The sequence below is a fragment of the Homo sapiens genome, chromosome 2 (genome assembly GCF_000001405.40).
Source record: "Homo sapiens chromosome 2, GRCh38.p14 Primary Assembly".
In the NCBI taxonomy this organism is placed as follows: Eukaryota; Metazoa; Chordata; class Mammalia; order Primates; family Hominidae; genus Homo; species Homo sapiens.
In genome coordinates this window covers 194,377,562-194,396,395 of record NC_000002.12, presented here as the reverse complement: position 1 = coordinate 194,396,395, position 18,834 = coordinate 194,377,562, and the positions used below count along the sequence as shown (strand labels likewise).

The following is an 18,834-nucleotide window of genomic DNA, read 5'->3' as shown; positions in this document are numbered from 1 at the left end:
TCATCCTTAGTGTTTTAATATACGACACAGCGCTGCTACTCTCCACCAGGTAGTCCATCTGTTATAGGCTTTGTTCTTTAATTTTGAAAAATCATAACTTTCTTGTTTTCATTAAAAATAAGTATATTATTCTCTTGTTGAAAAACATCAGGGAAGAAAAAAGCCCAAATGATTTTTTTAAAATACCTCTTTATTTAGAAATATTTATTAGCATTTCATGATTATCATTATATAAAGACCTTGTTATGTGTTTGTGTATGATTTACTTGTATGTATGTATATATCTATGCACACACATATATGTGCATTTGTACACATGAGCACACATGAAGAGAGAGGGAGAAAGAAAAAGAAGTGTTCAAATTTGCTGACATTGGAGCAGTCATGATCTTTAAGGAGATAAAAAAAGTGCTGAATCACACATTGTCTCTTTATGTTTCTACAATTATATGTAATTATCTATCTAATCGATCTATAATGCAATTATAGATCCTAAGAAGCCCCATAGTGTGTCCTCTGCAAGTTAGAGGCAAAGCCCAGGAACGTCTGTAATTCCAACCCAAATCGAAAGGCCTGACAACCAACAGAGCCAATGGTCCAAGTCTCATTCTAAGTCCAAAGGCCCTGGGAACAAGGAGCGTCAATGTCTGAGGTTAGGAAAAAATGGATATCCCAGGTCAAGCGAGAGCAAATTCACCTTTCCTCCACTTTTTTCTTCTATTCAGACCTTCAAGGAATTAGATGATGTTCACTCACATTGGTGAGAGAGATCTTTATTCATTCTGCCAATTCAAATGCTAATCTCTTCTGGAAACACCCTCACAGACACACTGACCTTCATATTAGATCAATGATTCTGGTGGACTTTTTCTTTCTCTTTTACAGAAGATTATTTATACCAGAGTATTCAACCTACTTTAAGGTTACATTTGATATTATGAAATAAAAATAATTAGACATCTTAATTCATAGAATGATCTTTTTTGATTTATATGGTTTGAGACTGTTCAAAGAGAACCCTTTATGTTTGGTAAAAACAAGTTTCCAAAATTGCAAAGCTAAAGCCTGAACAAATTGTTGTCCAAATAGACCACCAAACATTTACCTTATTTGATACATTCCCTTTAAATTCCTGACAATGAGAATTAGATACTTTAAAGTTATACAAACATTTTATGTTTTAAAATTTTATGTACATTTAATTATATATGGATATAAAATAACACATGTGTATATATACACATTTTTATACATGTTTACATATGTACACATATATAGGCATACACATACTCATATATATGTATATATATACTGATAAATTGAATTAAGATAGTAATAAGGAAACTCCATTCAAAACATGGTTTGGGAATTTTCTTACAACACACATTATTCTTCACTATCATTCCTGAATGTGGAAGAAAAATGACTAATGCTTTATTTACGGAAATGTCATAAACTTAAATATATTACCACCAATAAGATGGCAAATCAACTGTAATTCTATATCCTAAATTTTCTTTTTTTTGATATATCTTTTTTTAAATTATTATTATACTTTAAGTTTTAGGGTACATGTGCACAATGTGCAGGTTAGTTACATATATATACATGTGCCATGCTGGTGTGCTGCATCCATTAACTCGTCATTTAGCATTAGGTATATCTCCTAATGCTATACCTCCCCCCTTCCCCCACCCCACAACAGTCCCCAGAGTGTGGTGTTCCCCTTCCTGTGTCCATGTGTTCTCATTGTTCAATTCCCATCTATGAGTGAGAACATGCGGTGTTTGGTTTTTTGTCCTTGCGGCAGTTTACTGAGAATGATGATTTCCAATTTCATCCATGTCCCTACAAAGAAAATGAACTCATCATTTTTTATGGCTGCATAGTATTCCATGGTGTATATGTGCCACATTTTCTTAATCCAGTCTATCATTGTTGGACATTTGGGTTGGTTGCAAGTCTTTGCTATTTTGAATAGTGCCGCAATAAACATACGTGTGCATGTGTCTTTATAGCAGCATGATTTATAGTCCTTGGGGTATATACACAGTAATGGGATGGCTGGGTCAAATGGTATTTCTAGTTCTAGATCCCTGAGGAATTGCCACACTGATTTCCACAATGGTTGAACTAGTTTACAGTCCCACCAACAGTGTAAAAGTGTTCCTATTTCTCCACATCCTCTCCAGCACCTGTTGTTTCCTGACTTTTTAATGATTGCCATTCTAACTGGTGTGAGATGGTATCTCATTGTGGTTTTGATTTGCATTTCCCTGATGGCCAGTGATGATGAGCATTTTTTCGTGTGTCTTTTGGCTGTATAAATGTCTTCTTTTGAGAAGTGTCTGTTCATATCCTTTGCCCGCTTTTTGATGGGGTTGTTTTTTTCTTGTAAATTTGTTTAAGTTCATTGTAGATTCTGGATATTAGCCCTTTGTCAGATAAGTAGGTTGTGAAAATTTTCTCCCATTCTGTAGGTTGCCTGTTCACTCTGATGGTAGTTTCTTTTGCTGTGCAGAAGCTCTTTAGTTTAATTAGATCCCATTTGTCAATTTTGGCTTTTCTTGCCATTGCTTTTGGTGTTTTAGACATGAAGTCCTTGTCCATGCCTATGTCCTGAATGGTAATGCCTAGGTTTTCTTCTAGGGTTTTTATGGTTTTAGGTCTAACATTTAAGTCTTTAATCCATCTTGAATTAATTTTTGTATAAGGTGTAAGGAAGGGATCCAGTTTCAGCTTTCTGCATATGGCTAGCCAGTTTTCCCAGCACCATTTATTAAATAGGGAATCCTTTCCCCATTGCTTGTTTTTCTCAGGTTTGTCAAAGATCAGATAGTTGTAGATATGCGGCATTATTTCTGAGGGCTCTGTTCTGTTCCATTGATCTATATCTCTGTTTTGGTACAAGTACCATGCTGTTTTGGTTACTGTAGCCTTGTAGTATAGTTTGAAGTCAGGTGGCGTGATGCCTCCAGCTTTGTTCTTTTGGCTTAGGATTGACTTGGCAATGCGGGCTCTTTTTTGGTTCCATATGAACTTTAAAGTAGTTTTTTCCAATTCTGTGAAGAAAGTCATTGGTAGCTTGATGGGGACGGCATTGAATCTATAAATTACCTTGAGCAGTATGGCCATTTTCACGATATTGATTCTTCCTACCCATGAGCATGGAATGTTCTTCCATCTGTTTGTATCCTCTTTTATTTCACTGAGCAGTGGTTTGTAGTTCTCCTTGAAGAGGTCCTTCATATCCCTTGTAAGTTGGATTCCTAAGTATTTTATTCTTTTTGAAGCAATTGTGAATGGGAGTTCACTCATGATTTGGCTCTCTGTTTGTCTGTTATTGGTGTATAAGAATGCTTGTGATTTTTGTGCATTGATTTTGTATCCCGAGACTTTGCTGAAGTTGCTTATCAGCTTAAGGAGATTTTGAGCTGAGACAATGGGGTTTTCTAGATATACAATCATGTCATCTGCAAACAGGGACAATTTGACTTCCTCTTTTCCTAATTGAATACCCTTTATTTCCTTCTCCTGCCTAATTGCCCTGGCCAGAATTTCCAACACTATGTTGAATAGGAGTGGTGAGAGAGGGCATCCCTGTCTTGTGCCAGTTTTCAAAGGGAATGCTTCCAGTTCTTGCCCATTCAGCATGATATTGGCTGTGGGTTTGTCATAGATAGCTCTTATTAGTTTGAGATATGTCCCATCAATACCTAATTTCTTGAGAGTTTTTAGCATGAAGGGTTGTTGAATTTTGTCAAAGGCCTTTTCTGCATCTATTGAGATAATCATGTGGTTTTTGTCTTTGGTTCTGTTTATATGCTGGATTACATTTATTGATTTGCGTATATTGAACCAGCCTTGCATCCCAGGGATGAAGCCCACTTGATCATGGTGGATAAGCTTTTTGATGTCCTGCTGGATTCAGTTTGCCAGTATTTTATTGAGGATTTTTGCATCAATGTTCATCAAGGATATTGGTCTAAAATTCTCTTTTTTGGTTGTGTCTCTGCCTAGCTTTGGTATCAGGATGATGCTGGCATCATAGAATGAGTTAGGGAGGATTCCTTCTTTTTCTATTGATTGGAATAGTTTCAGAAGGAATGGTACCAGTTCCTCCTTGTATCTCTGGTAGAATTCGGCTGTGAATCCATCTGGTCCTGGACTCTTTTTGGTTGGTAAGCTATTGATTATTGCCACACTTTCAGATCCTGTTATTGGTCTATTCAGTGATTCAACTTCTTCCTGGTTTAGTCTTGGGAGGATGTATGTGTCAAGGAATTTATCCATTTCTTCTAGATTTTCTAGTTTATTTGCGTAGAGGTGTTTGTAGTATTCTCTGATGGTAATTTGTATTTCTGTGGGATCGGTGGTGATATCCCCTTAATGATTTTTTATTGCGTCTATTTGATTCTTCTTTTTTTCTTTATTAGTCTTGCTAGCGGTCTATCTATCAATTTTGTTGATCCTTTCAAAAAACCAGCTCCTGGATACATTAATTTTTTGAAGGGTTTTTTGTGTCTCTATTTCCTTCAGTTCTGCTCTGATCTTAGTTATTTCTTGCCTTTTGCTAGCTTTTGAATGTGTTTTTTCTTGCTTTTCTAGTTCTTTTAATTGTGATGTTAGGGTGTCAATTTTGGATCTTTCTCTTGTGGGCATTTAGTGCTATAAATTTCCCTCTACACACTGCTTTGAATGTGTCCCAGAGATTCTGGTATGTTGTGTCTTTGTTCTCATTGGTTTCAAAGAACATCTTTATTTCTGCCTTCATTTCATTATGTACCCAGTAGTCATTCAGGAGCAGGTTGTTCAGTTTCCATGTAGTTGAGTGGTTTTGAGTGAGTTTCTTAATCCTGAGTTCTAGTTTGATTGCACTGTGGTCTGAGAGACAGTTTGTTATAATTTCTAATCTTTTACATTTGTTGAGGAGAGCTTTACTTCCAACTATGTGGTCAATTTTGGAATAGGTGTAGTGTGGTGCTGAAAAAAATGTGTATTCTGTTGATTTGGGTTGGAGAGTTCTGTAGATGTCTATTAGGTCCACTTGGTGCAAAGCTGAGTTCAATTCCTGGGTAACCTTGTTAACTTTCTGTCTCGTCGATCTGTCTAATGTTGACAGTGGAGTGTTAAAGTCTCCCATTATTATTGCATGGGAGTCTAAGTCTCTTTGTAGGTCACTCAGGACTTGCTTTATGAACCTGGGTGCTCCTGTATTGGGTGCATATATATTTAGGATAGTTAGCTCTTCTTGTTGAATTGATCCCTTTACCATTATGTAATGGCCTTCTTTGTCTCTTTTGATCTTTGTTGGTTTAAAGTCTGTTTTATCAGAGACTAGGATTGCAACCCCTGCCCTTTTTTTGTTTTCCATTTGCTTGGTGGATCTTCCTCCATCCTTTTATTTTGAGCCTATGTGTGTCTCTGCACGTGAGATGAGTTTCCTGAATACAGCACACTGATGGGTCTTGACTCTTTATCCAATTTGCCAGTCTGTGTCTTTTAATTGGAGCATGTAGTCCATTTACATTTAAAGTTAATATTGTTATGTGTGATCCTAAATTTTCAAATACAAATTGATTGATGAAAAAAGAAGTCCACCTACAATCAATTGTACTACACAGATAATGTCAATATTTTAATAAATGATATTTTAATAGGCTTATGAAAATTTTTATTTAACAAAACCATGCAGATCATTAATTACTTCATGTTTTCTGCCCCAAAATATTCTGAAGAAATTAAGAATCTTAGTGTTATTTTCAGTAAAGGAATATTGTTCAGAAAACATTTATGTCATGTTGCTTTGCTCAGAACTTTTGCTCTTTGGCATATAGTTATATAGTTTTTAACCTGACGCATTAGAACTCTCTATCTGGTCTTATAAAGAATCCCAAGTGCCGCCATGTCTGTTTGAAGTTACTCTGTCAAAAATAAAGCAAATTTGTAGTTGCCAATTATTTGGTATTTTTATCTGAATTAACACATTAATTAACAAATGTCTCATGTTGGGAAATCTAAAAATGCTTCCCTAGCTTATAAAGATACTTCCCACTACTTTTTCCCACAACTTTTGTGAGAAAATAATTGTGAAAAATCTCTTGCAAAATAGGACATTTTACAAGATATAATGGTTTTGATACTTTTGTACAAACTTGTTAAATCTGTGTTAAATAACTAAAGGCAGAATTTAACAAGAATGACTTTTCTCTTTACAACCTCAATTTTAAACCCATACATTTTATTGTGTGTGGAAATAATTTTAACAACCATTAGCCACCTGCCCATCATTATTTTACAACAAGCAAGGCTCACCGAACCTGCAATTAGCCAATTACACAAACTATTATATTGTTTGCAATTGTCAACGGAAAAATGAATTCAAGCGGATTTCTCTATACTGCAGGAGAGCTATGTCAATAGCTTGTTTGCAGTCTGGGATATAGCATGCCTTTTTTGTTTTTTTTTTTTTTAACAGTAATGACTATAAAATAATTATCAGTTTTGTCACCCTAGTTTTCCCTTTAGTTGCATATGGTTAGCTTCAGCACTACTCTCTCCTCTTTTGTTTTCTTTCAAAGTGAAATTTTGCTGTTTTTAATCAAACTCCAACTTTGTGGAATAAGGATGTGATTTGTAAAAGTACTTCTTTGTTTAGTTGATTAATAAGTACATCACAACAGTTTCTTGACTTGAATTTTAAAATGGATATTTATATTTAAAATACAGATTTTCTCAATGAATGGATTAGATATGAAATAACACCGTTATCTTAACCCTATTTGTACCAAAGATTCAGTCCTTTGAAAGCTTAAATATTACCTAACTGACTCATTCCCTTTCTTCCCTTGGCCCCTTCGAATGCACAGACACAAAATGTGTGTGCAATTTTAACAGGATCACACATTTCAACAGACAGCAGGTTAATAATTTTGTATACACCCAATATTTTTTAAAAACCTGCTGGAGATTACAACTTTGGTTTTATCCAAACATGTCTTATTTTTCAAAATCAAAATATATTTTTTAAAATGTTTTAAAATTTAAGTTAAATATTTTTAATATCTCAGCTCTACCTGTGTTATGCACAATAAGAAGGCTCAGTTCCTTACTGCCTTGAGCATTTTGCTATCTTTTATAACTTTTAAGAAAATTTTAATAAAGGAACAGCTGGCATGCAAATTAATTGATATGAGAATAACTAATATGAACAGTAAGCTGCACATCTGTGACACACATTTCTCAGGGGAAACCTTTGAATGTGTATTAAACTATTAAAAATCAAAGCAAATGACAATGAAATTAAAAACTCTTGATTTTAATATAATTTTTCTTTATATTATAACTGACATCAAATATCAGAAAAAATAAACTTTAAATATTTCTCCAAAGTTTCTGCATAAATTCTTAACATGAAAATTAAAATGTAGTATGTATTTGTACTCAACATTTTATATCCACAACTCTCTGTATTTTAATGCTAAAATAAGCCATCAATACAATTATAGCATTCTTTAAAATTTTTTTACATAAATAGCAAAATTTGAAAAACTTTAACTTGCCTTTTTGTATTCATACACCTAATTCCACAAAGCAGTACATGTCTAGATTTTGAGGCAAGATTTACTATGAAATTTTTACTGAAGTCTTATCACCACTTTCTTACCCTATACTTGTGTGGGTTCAACTTGTCTGGAGTTATCATCTTGGCATCACTTGAAGAGTTTTGGCCGTCTCTGGGAAGCCACAGCAGATTGACTCCCTGACCTTAAGATAACCTTTTTCCCTGACCAAATTTATGACCATTTGCCACAATCTCTTTTTAATTTTTTTCACCAAAGGTGATGTTTCTAATGATAATAGAAAAATGAAATAACTACTTCCTTCTAAATATAACCTGCTCTTTAAATTGAAATACAGTCTACAAAAAAGCAAATAATAATGGACCCCAAATAACTGTTTTCCCAAAGAAACATCTATTGTACATAAATATTTGAGATGATGTTGAGCTGTACTAAACCCAGCTTATTTTCCTCTTGAGTCTTTTCTCATCACAAATTCAAAATATACTAAAAGCAGGGAAGTCATTTCACTCTGTATTCTAGAAGAATTTTTAACATGTGAACTTTTATAAGGCTTGTTTTCTTTGATTGGCTAATATCTTAAAATGACTAAAATATTTATTTAAATTTTTTGCAAGAAAAGTAATATTTAAATCATGCATTCCTTTACAATATGTCTCTTACAAAGCAAACTTTGGAAATGTAAATTGCATGACTAATATAATTTATTGTACTGATAACTGATAAGTATGTAATTCATAATATTAAGTTTTTGTTTTTGTTCCAATGAGAAAAAAAATTTAATTATATTAGGTGAACACTTTAGGGAGGGATGAATCAGAAAAATAAAGCAAATTTCTACCAACAAACTAATTTATCCTTGTAGCAGATTTTCACAACAACATAAAACGTTAATTATTTGAATTATACATTAAGAATAGACAATAACGTTAAAATTATATTTGGCACCATTGGTTCTGCTTCACAGCATACAAAATCTAGTTGACTTTCATTTCACAGAATATAATTGAGACAAGAAATTGAAGAGGAACAGAGAAAACTAGACTGAATGAATAAAAAATCATTCACTAAAATGAGCCAATTCAAATGCAATTAAAACGTCAAAAAATGTATTAAACAAAATACAAAAATTGAGTCTCAGCAACATAAGGAAATTGCGTCAAATCATTTTTTTTCTTATTGTAGTGAATTGGTTTTGACACTTGTAATCTCTGATTCTTAGTGGCACTTCTTTGTTAAATTACAAATCACATCTCTTAGAAATGAAGAATAAACTATTTTAATACAATAATTTATTTGGACAAAACAGTTAACTTGTCAGTTATTAATACATGCTTATTTTTAGATACATTGTAAACTGTTTTTTACATGTAATCACTGATCCTTGACCTTCTGTTTAATATTTATATGATTCCATGTGAGTAAACCTATTTTGTTCCCAGTTTTAATTTATTTCAAGTAATTTTATAATGCATTTAGCCTTGAAAACTTTTATTTTTAAAAATACTAAAACATTAAACATATAATTAGCCATCAAAGAAGCTGTTTGTAATCAAACTAGGTTATAGCTCAGAACTCCATCCACCAAGCCTAGCTCTCCTTTATTGGTGGTTCTGAGGTACATTTAAAGTGTTAATAAAAACTAAATATGACCTGACAAGGATTTCATACTTCTATATTTGAATCCTTGTGGATGAACTGCAACCTAACTTAATAGGGAGACAAGATTGAAAGCCTAACTTAGGAGTATGTACCTGTAACAACAGCTGAGTCTTGGCCAATCCCAGCAGCCACATGTCAACCACTCGTACACTGCTGAGTATTCAAACAAACTGTATTCAAATAAGGTAAACACCAACCTGTACCTGAAGGAGGATTTCCCTTACCCCTTCATGGGACTCGCGACAGGGGTCTCACCTCCTTTACTCAGCCTGCCACTCTCAACTCTTTGCAGGAGGAAGTGCGAGAGCAAATGAGGCAAGAACTGGAGTGCTCAAGGGCTGGAATCAGCTGGCATCTTTGGCACCCACAGAAACAAACTCCATTCACTTGGACCCGCTGTGTTTCACCCTTCACGGGAGGAAGCACACAGGTGAGTGAGTGCAGGAGCCACAGCAAGTACTTTTAGGTGCTGGCAGGAGCAAACTCCATGTTGGCTCTGTGGGAGAATCTAGTGCAGGTGTCTGTGACCCCTGAAGCCCCAGAAGGCATAAAACAGTGCTCTTTAGCTTTGCTGTCCCTAGATTGCTTAAGTGTTAACAGCTCAGTGGGCCCTCTACTTTTATGCTTGAGGCAGCTGCGTTCTTCCCATGAGTGCAAAGGGCCAGTGTGAGAGCCTTTTGTATCCCCACTTGTGGCTCCTGAGCTCTTGTCTGATGTCCAGAAAAAATGAGGTCAAATGAACAAATTGAAGGATAGTAAATGTGTGGGATTTTATTGCTGAAAAAAGTAGCTCTCAGCAGGTAGGGGAGCTGAAAAAGGTATGGGGTAGGCAGGTAATCTTCCCCTGAAGAATCTTCCCCTTTAGATTAGATTATTATCTGAAGTTACACCATCAAGCTGTCCCTCGGAAGTCAAGCCGTTTCTCTCCAGTGTCCAGCCTTAGTCCCGAGCATCCAGCTGCTTCTCCTCTCTGACAGCTGAGTCTGGGGTCTTTATAGGCACAGGATGTAGGGTGGAGTAGGCCATGGGTAGTTTAGGAAAAGACAATAGGGATAAAAGTTCTCACTTTGAGCTACAGTTTTAGGTTTTTCAGCTTGAGGATGGGGTTTTGTTGGGTACCTGAATTTTTCTGCCTAGAATTTTTCTGCCCCCCCCATTCTTATAATAACCAATTCAGCTATTCCTGTAACTCACTTCTGATTTTTATGTCACTTTACTTTTTTTGTCTATAAATTTGTTCTTACCACAAGGCACCCCCGGAGTCTCTCTCAAACTGTTGTGATTCTGGGGGCTGCCTGATTCACAAATTGTTCAATTAAACTCCTTTAAATTTAATTTGCCTGAAAGCTTTTTTTTAAAAACAGGTGTGTTAGAAATGGGGTCTGAAGTACGGCTGCTAACAACTCCCATGAGCAGAGTGAACAAGCAAGAGACCTGCTGGACCCACTGTGTCCTTTGAACTCTCAGAGCAGTTGGGAATTGTGGTAAGTCCTCTTGAATTTCAGAGCTCCATGGATTTGTGTTTTGAGCTCTCCAAGTTTATTTGAGCAAATTTCTGTTCCAAATTGGGTTTGGAAGTCATGACAGAAGCTGGACTGAGTCCAGGATCAAATTTGATCTTGTAATTAACTGGCTTGGATCCAGTTAGAGGCCTCTTACATCTGACTGGGTCAGAAAGAAACTGGTAGTAAGTGGTAATATTGCAGGGTTGTAAGATTTGGCTTTTGAAAATTCATAGGGATTTTTGCATTCTACCCCTTTGTTTCATTTTTCTCACATGCTTAAGTAGGAAGAAAATCATTGGGTGAATTAGTCAAGGGAACCTGAAAGCAAAGCCAATAAATTAGGTAAAAATGGATAATTAATTTCTGAAAAACTGGGTTTCTTCCAGCTTATACATTAGGCCCAGGAAGCAGCAAAGTCTTACAGAAATGGTGAAATCTTACTAAAGAAAACTTACAGTGGAATGTGCCAAATGAACAACACACAAGTGTATTTAAAAATGAGAGCTTGCAAATTAGTCTCACCTAGGGATGCCTATTAATATGCAGAAGCTTCTAAAATGATTTAGATATGATGGGGCCCATCTAGGGGCAAGTTTGAGCCTTCCTAGTTTGATATTGGGTGCTAAGCAGAGTGGCTAATTAATGTCTATATTTGTCACTCATATTTTGCACTGACCAGAATGGAAAATGCTAATTTGGTTATCCCATACAACCCCTTGGGAAGCATTTTGCAAAACTGAGAAGATTTTGCCTGTGGTTTCATGATTTTTCTTTGTGATGCAGCTTCGCTCCTGGAACTAAAGTGTAGCAAGCAGGGTCACTAGGGCTGCTCGGGAAAGGGGAACGCAGGTCATGACATGCCAGCAAAAAAGTAAGAATTTCTTACCAGTTAGACTGCTGACCTCACTCTCTCTCTCTGCCAACTGGTTTAATGAATGGTAAAAATCACTCTTTATCTCCTCTATAAAGTTTTAATCAATGTAAAAAAGAATTTTGAGGCTAATCTTAAGCTGTAGTGAATATGGTTTACTTTGTACTATGAATTCATCTTCTGTATCTTTCTGTCATAAAGAGGGGTACCTTAGCATAGAATGAGAGCTTAGGACACCTATAAGCCCACTGATCAAGATGGCCCAGCAAACTGTTCAGTTATGTTCTAGGGAGCTTCACCTTTTAACCATGTGGTAGTACTTTCTCTTTGTCTCCACCATCACAATGGCAGCCAGGGTTCAATTCGTGGCTTAGGAAATGAATCTTTTCTGGCTTGATATCTGCATGACTTTTACCATTTGTTAATTCTCTTCATCTTCATGAACTGTCTTGAATTTTCCTTTGTCTAAGAACCTGGGAGGTTACTTTTGATAAAGTTCAAAAGCCAGATATATTGGCAGTTTGGCATGGCTAAAGTGAGGTAATAAGAGATTTAAAAGGACTCCACCTTAAAGTTAATAATTCAATGAAAAAACTTAAAAACTGGCAAATGAAAAATTCTACAATTACTGGATCTTCTTCTGTGTAGTTATATATGTGTTGTGTGTGTGTGATGTTTATATAAAAGAGCTCTAATTAATTGGCTTAAAGAAAAATAAGTAGTTAGATCAAGTATTTTGAAAAACAAGTAAAAACTAATGCCTTTTAGTTTATGTGACTTTAGTAATCTTTGGGAACTAAAGACAGTTTTAAAGATGATTTGTTAAATAAAAATATCTTCAAAAATGTAAACATTTGGTCTAGATTATGCAGGTCACATATTAGATTTGCTAAACACCTTAAGGTTATAAACTGCTTCTTTGACTTTTGAAAATTGTTCAGTTTACATATTTTGGAGCACTAGACTCTAGATAAGTCCTGGGAAATGTGGAATTAGCCATCTCCCCTAGCCATACAAATAAGGTTATAAACAAAAGAGATTTTATATAAGAAAAGATCTTTCTTGTGTGGCAAATTCTTGTCCTGAAGTAAAATGACTAGTTTTTTTAAAAGAGGGATAGTTAAGGCAAGTCAGAAAGTCCAAGCATGTCGTAGATGGTCTGCATAAGTCATGAAAGAATTTGTGAAAGAGAATTTATGCAAAAAATGTTGTACAACTTGCCTGCTTTACAGCTAGGTAAGGCATGTGACAAGTGGTGAAGTTAGACACTCCTCTTAACTAAACTACTCTGGAAAGGCTGGAAAGAGTCAGACCTTATCTGCACTTCTGTCTGTGTCCTAGGCTTCACACCTAGTACATAATTAAAATTTCCTACTTCCCAAGTTTTTCACCAGAAGTAAAAGTCTCTAAGAGTTAACATTGTAGCATGTAATTCAGATTACTAAAAAAAAACAAACAGTTTTACATGCAAGGTGTGTAAGGAAAGTGAAATGTGTTTTTGGTACAAAATTATAAGAAGGCATGAAAATGTGGATGCTTTTGCCTAGATTACAAGCCTAAAGAATTGTTTTAAATTTGATAAAATAAAGATAAATATTTGAAAAAGTTGTAGAAGGCTTATGAAAAAATAATCTTGTAAAAAGAAATTCTGTGTGAACATTAGCTAAAGTTAAAGGGGTGTTATTAAGTTTTTCTCTAAATTGAACATTGGAATAAAAACACAGCAGGTTTTTCTTAGAGCACCAATCTGCTCTTTCACACAAATTATAAAAGGTTATAATATGTTTATGAGAATCTCACCTTATGGTAAAACTGATTAAGATTGGATAGATTTGTCTATAAGGTTTTATTAAAAATTGAAGTAGACATTAATAGTAGACTAATGCAAGGGTGATATTTGGCTGTCTCTCGAACAAGATTTCCATGTAATATTAAAGCATAATGATAAATTTTTCTTTGCCTTTTGAATAAATTACTGAAAAAAGAAGGGAAAGAGAAGAGACAGATTATTTGGAAAGCTAAGTCTTCCCTCTCTCAATGAGTAAAGATTTTTGCCTTTTAAAAAATTTTTGAGTCGTTATTTTGGCTAAATAAATGATTTATGGTGACCTGGAATTCTATTTCATAATATCAAATGTTTTAGACCTTTAGCATATCTGATAGGCTTCCCAAAGTCAAGTTTCAGCATCAAAATTATCTTTTCTGACCTCTAACTTTAGGGTGCTAGAGAGGGCCCCTGAAGCACCCAAAAGAGAGGTAAACAAACAGGGCTATTTGATATGCTAGGTTGCATGGGAAGCAGTGTCAAAATAAGAGAGAATGTTTAACCTTCTTCAGTTTATATTTTAGCATATGTCATCAATATATTCCAAAATTGTATGGGATTTCTAAAATTCTACTATGTCTGAGTATTTGTTATCTATCATAATTATGGTTAAGTTTTTGTAGACCACAGATATAATCAAATTTCCTTGTCTATTGTGTCTTTAACCATTTAAAGGCATTTCCACAGTTAATTGCTTAATGCTGATGCAGTTCCTGAAAACTTCACATAAAATCCTTTCATATGGTATCTTTTAGGAGGTTCATTAAAGGATGGAAACGACCCTGAAAAGCACTCTTGAATACAGGTATCCAATAAATATAAAATCATATCATGTGTAAGAATTTCCCATGAATTCTCCAATTCCCCAAGAATTGGACTGGGTAAGAATTCCTGAAACTTTAGGGTAAGAATTCCTGAAACTTTAATAAAAAGACTGGTTTATAAAACTACTAACACAAGTAGAATGACAATTATTTAAATGCCAAGTAAATACTTTGCCAAACTTGCATGCTACATCAGACAATACTGAAATTTTTAGATATACAGTTTGAATGAACTCCAAGGTCTAAGTCATATTACCTATGATAACCCATCAGTTATCAGTTATTTGCACCTAATTGTAAAAATAACTGTTATTCAAGGGGACATAGGTCGGGACATAGGTCCAATGATAAGCATTGACTCATGGAAAATCGGGACAGCTGCCTTGTCTTTCCTGAGCCCTTAAAACTTTTATTATTAAAAGTCCTGCATTCTGTGACTTATCATGGAAAAAATAAAATAATCTAAATCAAATATATTGGTGTGGTAACTTATAAATTGCTAAAATAGCTTATAACCATTGTTTGGTTTGTCAAGCCCATATTCCTAAGAAAATAATCAAAGCTTCAAGTACATTTTAAACATTTTATAAGGGGGTTTCATTCAATGGTCATTTTCTATGCATGTTTTCTGATTCTATAAAGGTCTCCCATGTAAGAGGGCTGATGTTATAACAGTAAATTCTTATGCTTCAGTGTATTTTCACCAGGTAAAGCAAAATGAGTTTTTTATGGTTCACTGAGGACAGCCAACCCCTTCACAATCTAGAACCTGAAGACTGGATCATCTGAAAACATCAGGGAAAGATTGCTTTGCCATCCCTACTGCAATAAAACTTTGGAACTTGAACTGTGGGTTCATAATCTCACAACTGAGAAGGGTCCCTCCACACTCATGGAACTGTACACCCATTGGAACCCTTAAGGTCCAGTTAAACAGGAATGTCTCTCCCCAGAAGAAGATTGCATGCTTGATGTGAACAGCTTTTCCCAAGATCACGGATCAAGACTTCTCTACTATCATGAGACTCTTATCTTTGAACTTTTTTTCTTGTTTATGCCTCTATGAGTAATAGAAATAAGATAGGAGTCTGTTTAGTGCACTTATGTGGTATACTTTTATCTGTGAAGGATTTTGTAGCCAGCCTTATACATAGATAAAAGATGAAGGCCCAATGCAGGTGAGAAACTTTAATGGTACATACTTTTCTTCATATTCAGTCAGAAACAGAACATTGATTTACTATTCTTACCCACATCAAGGATTAAAGAGAATATTGATTGCTAGGAGGCCTTCATTCTTCTAGAAGGGCATCATTTTTCCATCGTTTGGAGTAAAAGAGGTAATAACCAGAAATGTATCCCTCATGATAGGTTCTATAGCAGATTCTACTGTAAAGGCTGTGGTCACACAACAGACTTATTAAATTATCTTGTGAAAGTTACGCTAAATAATTGAATTGTGGCCTATGAAGAACTACATTAAATGAAGATTATAGAGAGAGATTCAGATGTAGGATATTAACAAACAAAAAGATCACCTAGTTAAGCAAGTAGACTCCCTATCTAACTCATTCTTTACTCTTTTCGATTTTAGGTGGTTTGGTTTATGGGGAGTCTGAATAAGAAGCATACTCCAAACTCTTGGTATTATCCTCCCGATAGTAATAATAGTTTCCCTGGTACACTGTATTTTCTCAAAGGTTCTAAATGTTTGCATTCTGCCACCTCTAGAATGGCAAATGGTCTGTCTTTAACTGGAACTACAAGAGTTGAAAGAAGCACACAACCATGAGGACACTGTAACCTATGAATGAGGTGCTGAGACAGGAAACTCAAAATGATGGTAACTGAAAATGATGCTAAGGCCCTAAGTTGTGGTCACACTTTCACCAAAGTGAGAACCTGACCAAAAAGGGGAAATTTTAAAAACAAAATTATGAGAAACCATTGTTTTAGACTAAGCTAATGCACTAGACCCCAACAGACGAAACCAAACTAAAATGAAGTTGGTCATGCTAACTAACTGTGCCTAGAGCAGATCAGGTTTTGTTTTTCTCCTGTAAACAGGATGTTCTAACATAAGGAGGTATCCTCTATTCAAGTCCTTGCTCCTACCTTTACAAAACTCACTGTTCTACTATTTTCCAGTGGGCTTAAAGACCAAATAAGTACACTTATGGTGTTGATACTGACATCAATGACAAGAGTTTTGTTCAATCTCTCAAAATTGAGAAAATGACCAAAAGAGGGGAATTGCTAAAGTGAACTACATATGGCCTGAGAAGGATCTCATACTTCTATATTTGAGTCCTTGTGGGTGAACGCAATCTAACTTACTTAATAGGTAGACAAAATTGAAAACCTAACTTAGGAGTAGCACCTGTAACAATAGCTGAGTCTTGGCCAATCCCAGCAGCCACATTTCAACCAGTCATACCCTGCTGAGTGTTTAAACTGTGTTCCAATAAGGCAAATGCCAACCTGTAACCAACCCAGCCATTCCTGTACCTCACTTCCAATTTCTGTACATCACTTTACTTTTTTTGTCTATAAATTTGTTCTGACCATGATGCACCCCTAGAGTCTCTGAATCTGCTGTGATTCTGGGGGATGTCTGATTCATAAATCGTTTATTGCTCAATTAAACTCCTTTAACTTTAATTCGGCTGAAGTTTTTCTTTTAACAAAAGAAATTAAAACATGAAAATTGGTGATATAATCTAAACACACTCATTTCCAATGTGTTTTCTTTATTGTTAACAAGTTGGTATGGCTCATTATCAGAGCCTATGGTACTAAAGAATAGAAAAACTTCCTGGAGAAATTGACAGTCTGATTAAAAAGATATCAGGAAGAACTCCTTGTTAAAAAAAATAGGGTATCTATTATTCAGTCTTAAAAGTAGAATACTTACTTCTTTGGTTGTGTGATTACTATTTATTGTACAAAATGCAAATTCTCTGAAAGAGTTGGCACTTTTAGGCATAGGGATAAATTTTTTTCTTTGTCTTTTTCATTTTTTTTCCTTACCACTGCCTTTGGACTCAGTCTGTGATCTAGTTCTTTGATAGTTGGTGACATGTCAAAAAAATGCCAAGACTTTTTGGGAATTTTCAGCTATAAGAATCATTGCTATGTTCAATTCAAACTGGGCTCCCACTGGTGAGCCTCTTATCAATCATATCCAAGGTAATACACCTTCAGCCTTTTTCTCCAAGGCTGCCCTTGTCCCTGCAGGCAGCCTTTTTTGACATGTACTTTCAACAACTTAAGTTTGATTTCCTTTGGCAATATCCATTTACCCAGGGTCAACTCAAGCTTTCTCTCTAACAAATAAAAAAATTCCTTGCCAACCTGCCACTAGAATTTCCTGAAAAACTAATTGGTAATTTATATGACTTTTTTTCCCACCATCCCTGCTGAAATGCAACCTACCGGAACTGGGAAGGTGATAACAAAATGCATGTGTTCGATCATATTTTTTTAGCATTTCTTCAGCATTATGTATTACCAGTAGTCGCCTTATGCTTTTATACCTTAATCCTTATATATCAAAGTTTCTTAGAGAACAAATGTGATACGAAAGATTATATTATTAACAAACATTGTATAAGTTGCATATGAGCCAATACTTCTTTCTCTTTCCATATATTCTTTATGATGCCCAAAATCTGTACAAATAGTACAGGACCAATGGAAATTAGCATCTAAAACCTGGAGTCCTTAAGACAGAAGAGTAGGTTTCAAAATTTAAACTTTTGATGATTTTATAAATGCACCAATATTCTTGAAAACTTCATATATTTTATGAAAACTTGGCATTATATTGATGATTATCATTAACACATACATTTCTATGTATAGCAGATATCTTGCTAAGATATGTATTTGAGTAACTTGGTTTGTAAATACCTTTTAAAAATGAATATCTTAAGAAGACAACACTATATATTAAAACAAAGAGACACAGTTTTATAATCTATGAATTATTCAGCCACCAGCTTGGTTGGCAGTCTTTCTCAAGTAACAGTATGGCTTCATATTTAGAGAAAGATTAATGACTGAAATCTATTAAAAACTATTGAAGTGTCTTTAAATAATTGTCCATTTGGAGGTACCACCATATTTCCAAAATGATTGAGTTTACAAGTTGGATTGACAATACAATACTTCTTATTTAAAACAACTATGTGATCTTATATTATGAAATAATTATTTTCTGTTTAAAAATATAAGTTAATTTCATTCGGGTAGAAAAACAGAATGAGAAGAAAGTACAAATATGTTTGAATGAATATATAAATGAATATATAGATAGATTCAAAGCTTTCTGAGGAATATAGTTAGATTTTAAAAAATATCAAATGTGCATATTTTCTGGAGTTGAATTGTAGCAAATGAATCATATAAAGCGGATCACACTCTAATCAAAATAACAATGTATGCACTTGGTCCTAAAGTAATTGTGTTTTTTGCCATTAGAAGTAATAGGAAAAACCATTTACTTTTGCACCAAACTAATAGCTGCTAGTACTTTTGTTAGTAATTTTAATTATTTACATTT

The 18,834-nt window shown here is 34.6% G+C and overlaps 2 long non-coding RNA genes across 2 annotated transcripts in view; one reads left to right on the top strand and one right to left on the bottom strand.

Moving 5' to 3' along the window:
• The window catches only part of LINC01821 (long intergenic non-protein coding RNA 1821), a 75,363-nt gene that overhangs the window by 23,236 nt on the left and 33,293 nt on the right, over positions 1–18,834 (bottom strand). The gene's annotated exons all lie outside the window — the stretch shown is intronic.
• LOC105373816 (uncharacterized) lies at positions 9,538–16,931 on the top strand. Its single transcript, XR_923732.3, has 4 exons — positions 9,538–9,675; positions 10,610–10,729; positions 14,202–14,251; positions 14,964–16,931. It is a non-coding gene; the product is annotated as an uncharacterized LOC105373816 (long non-coding RNA).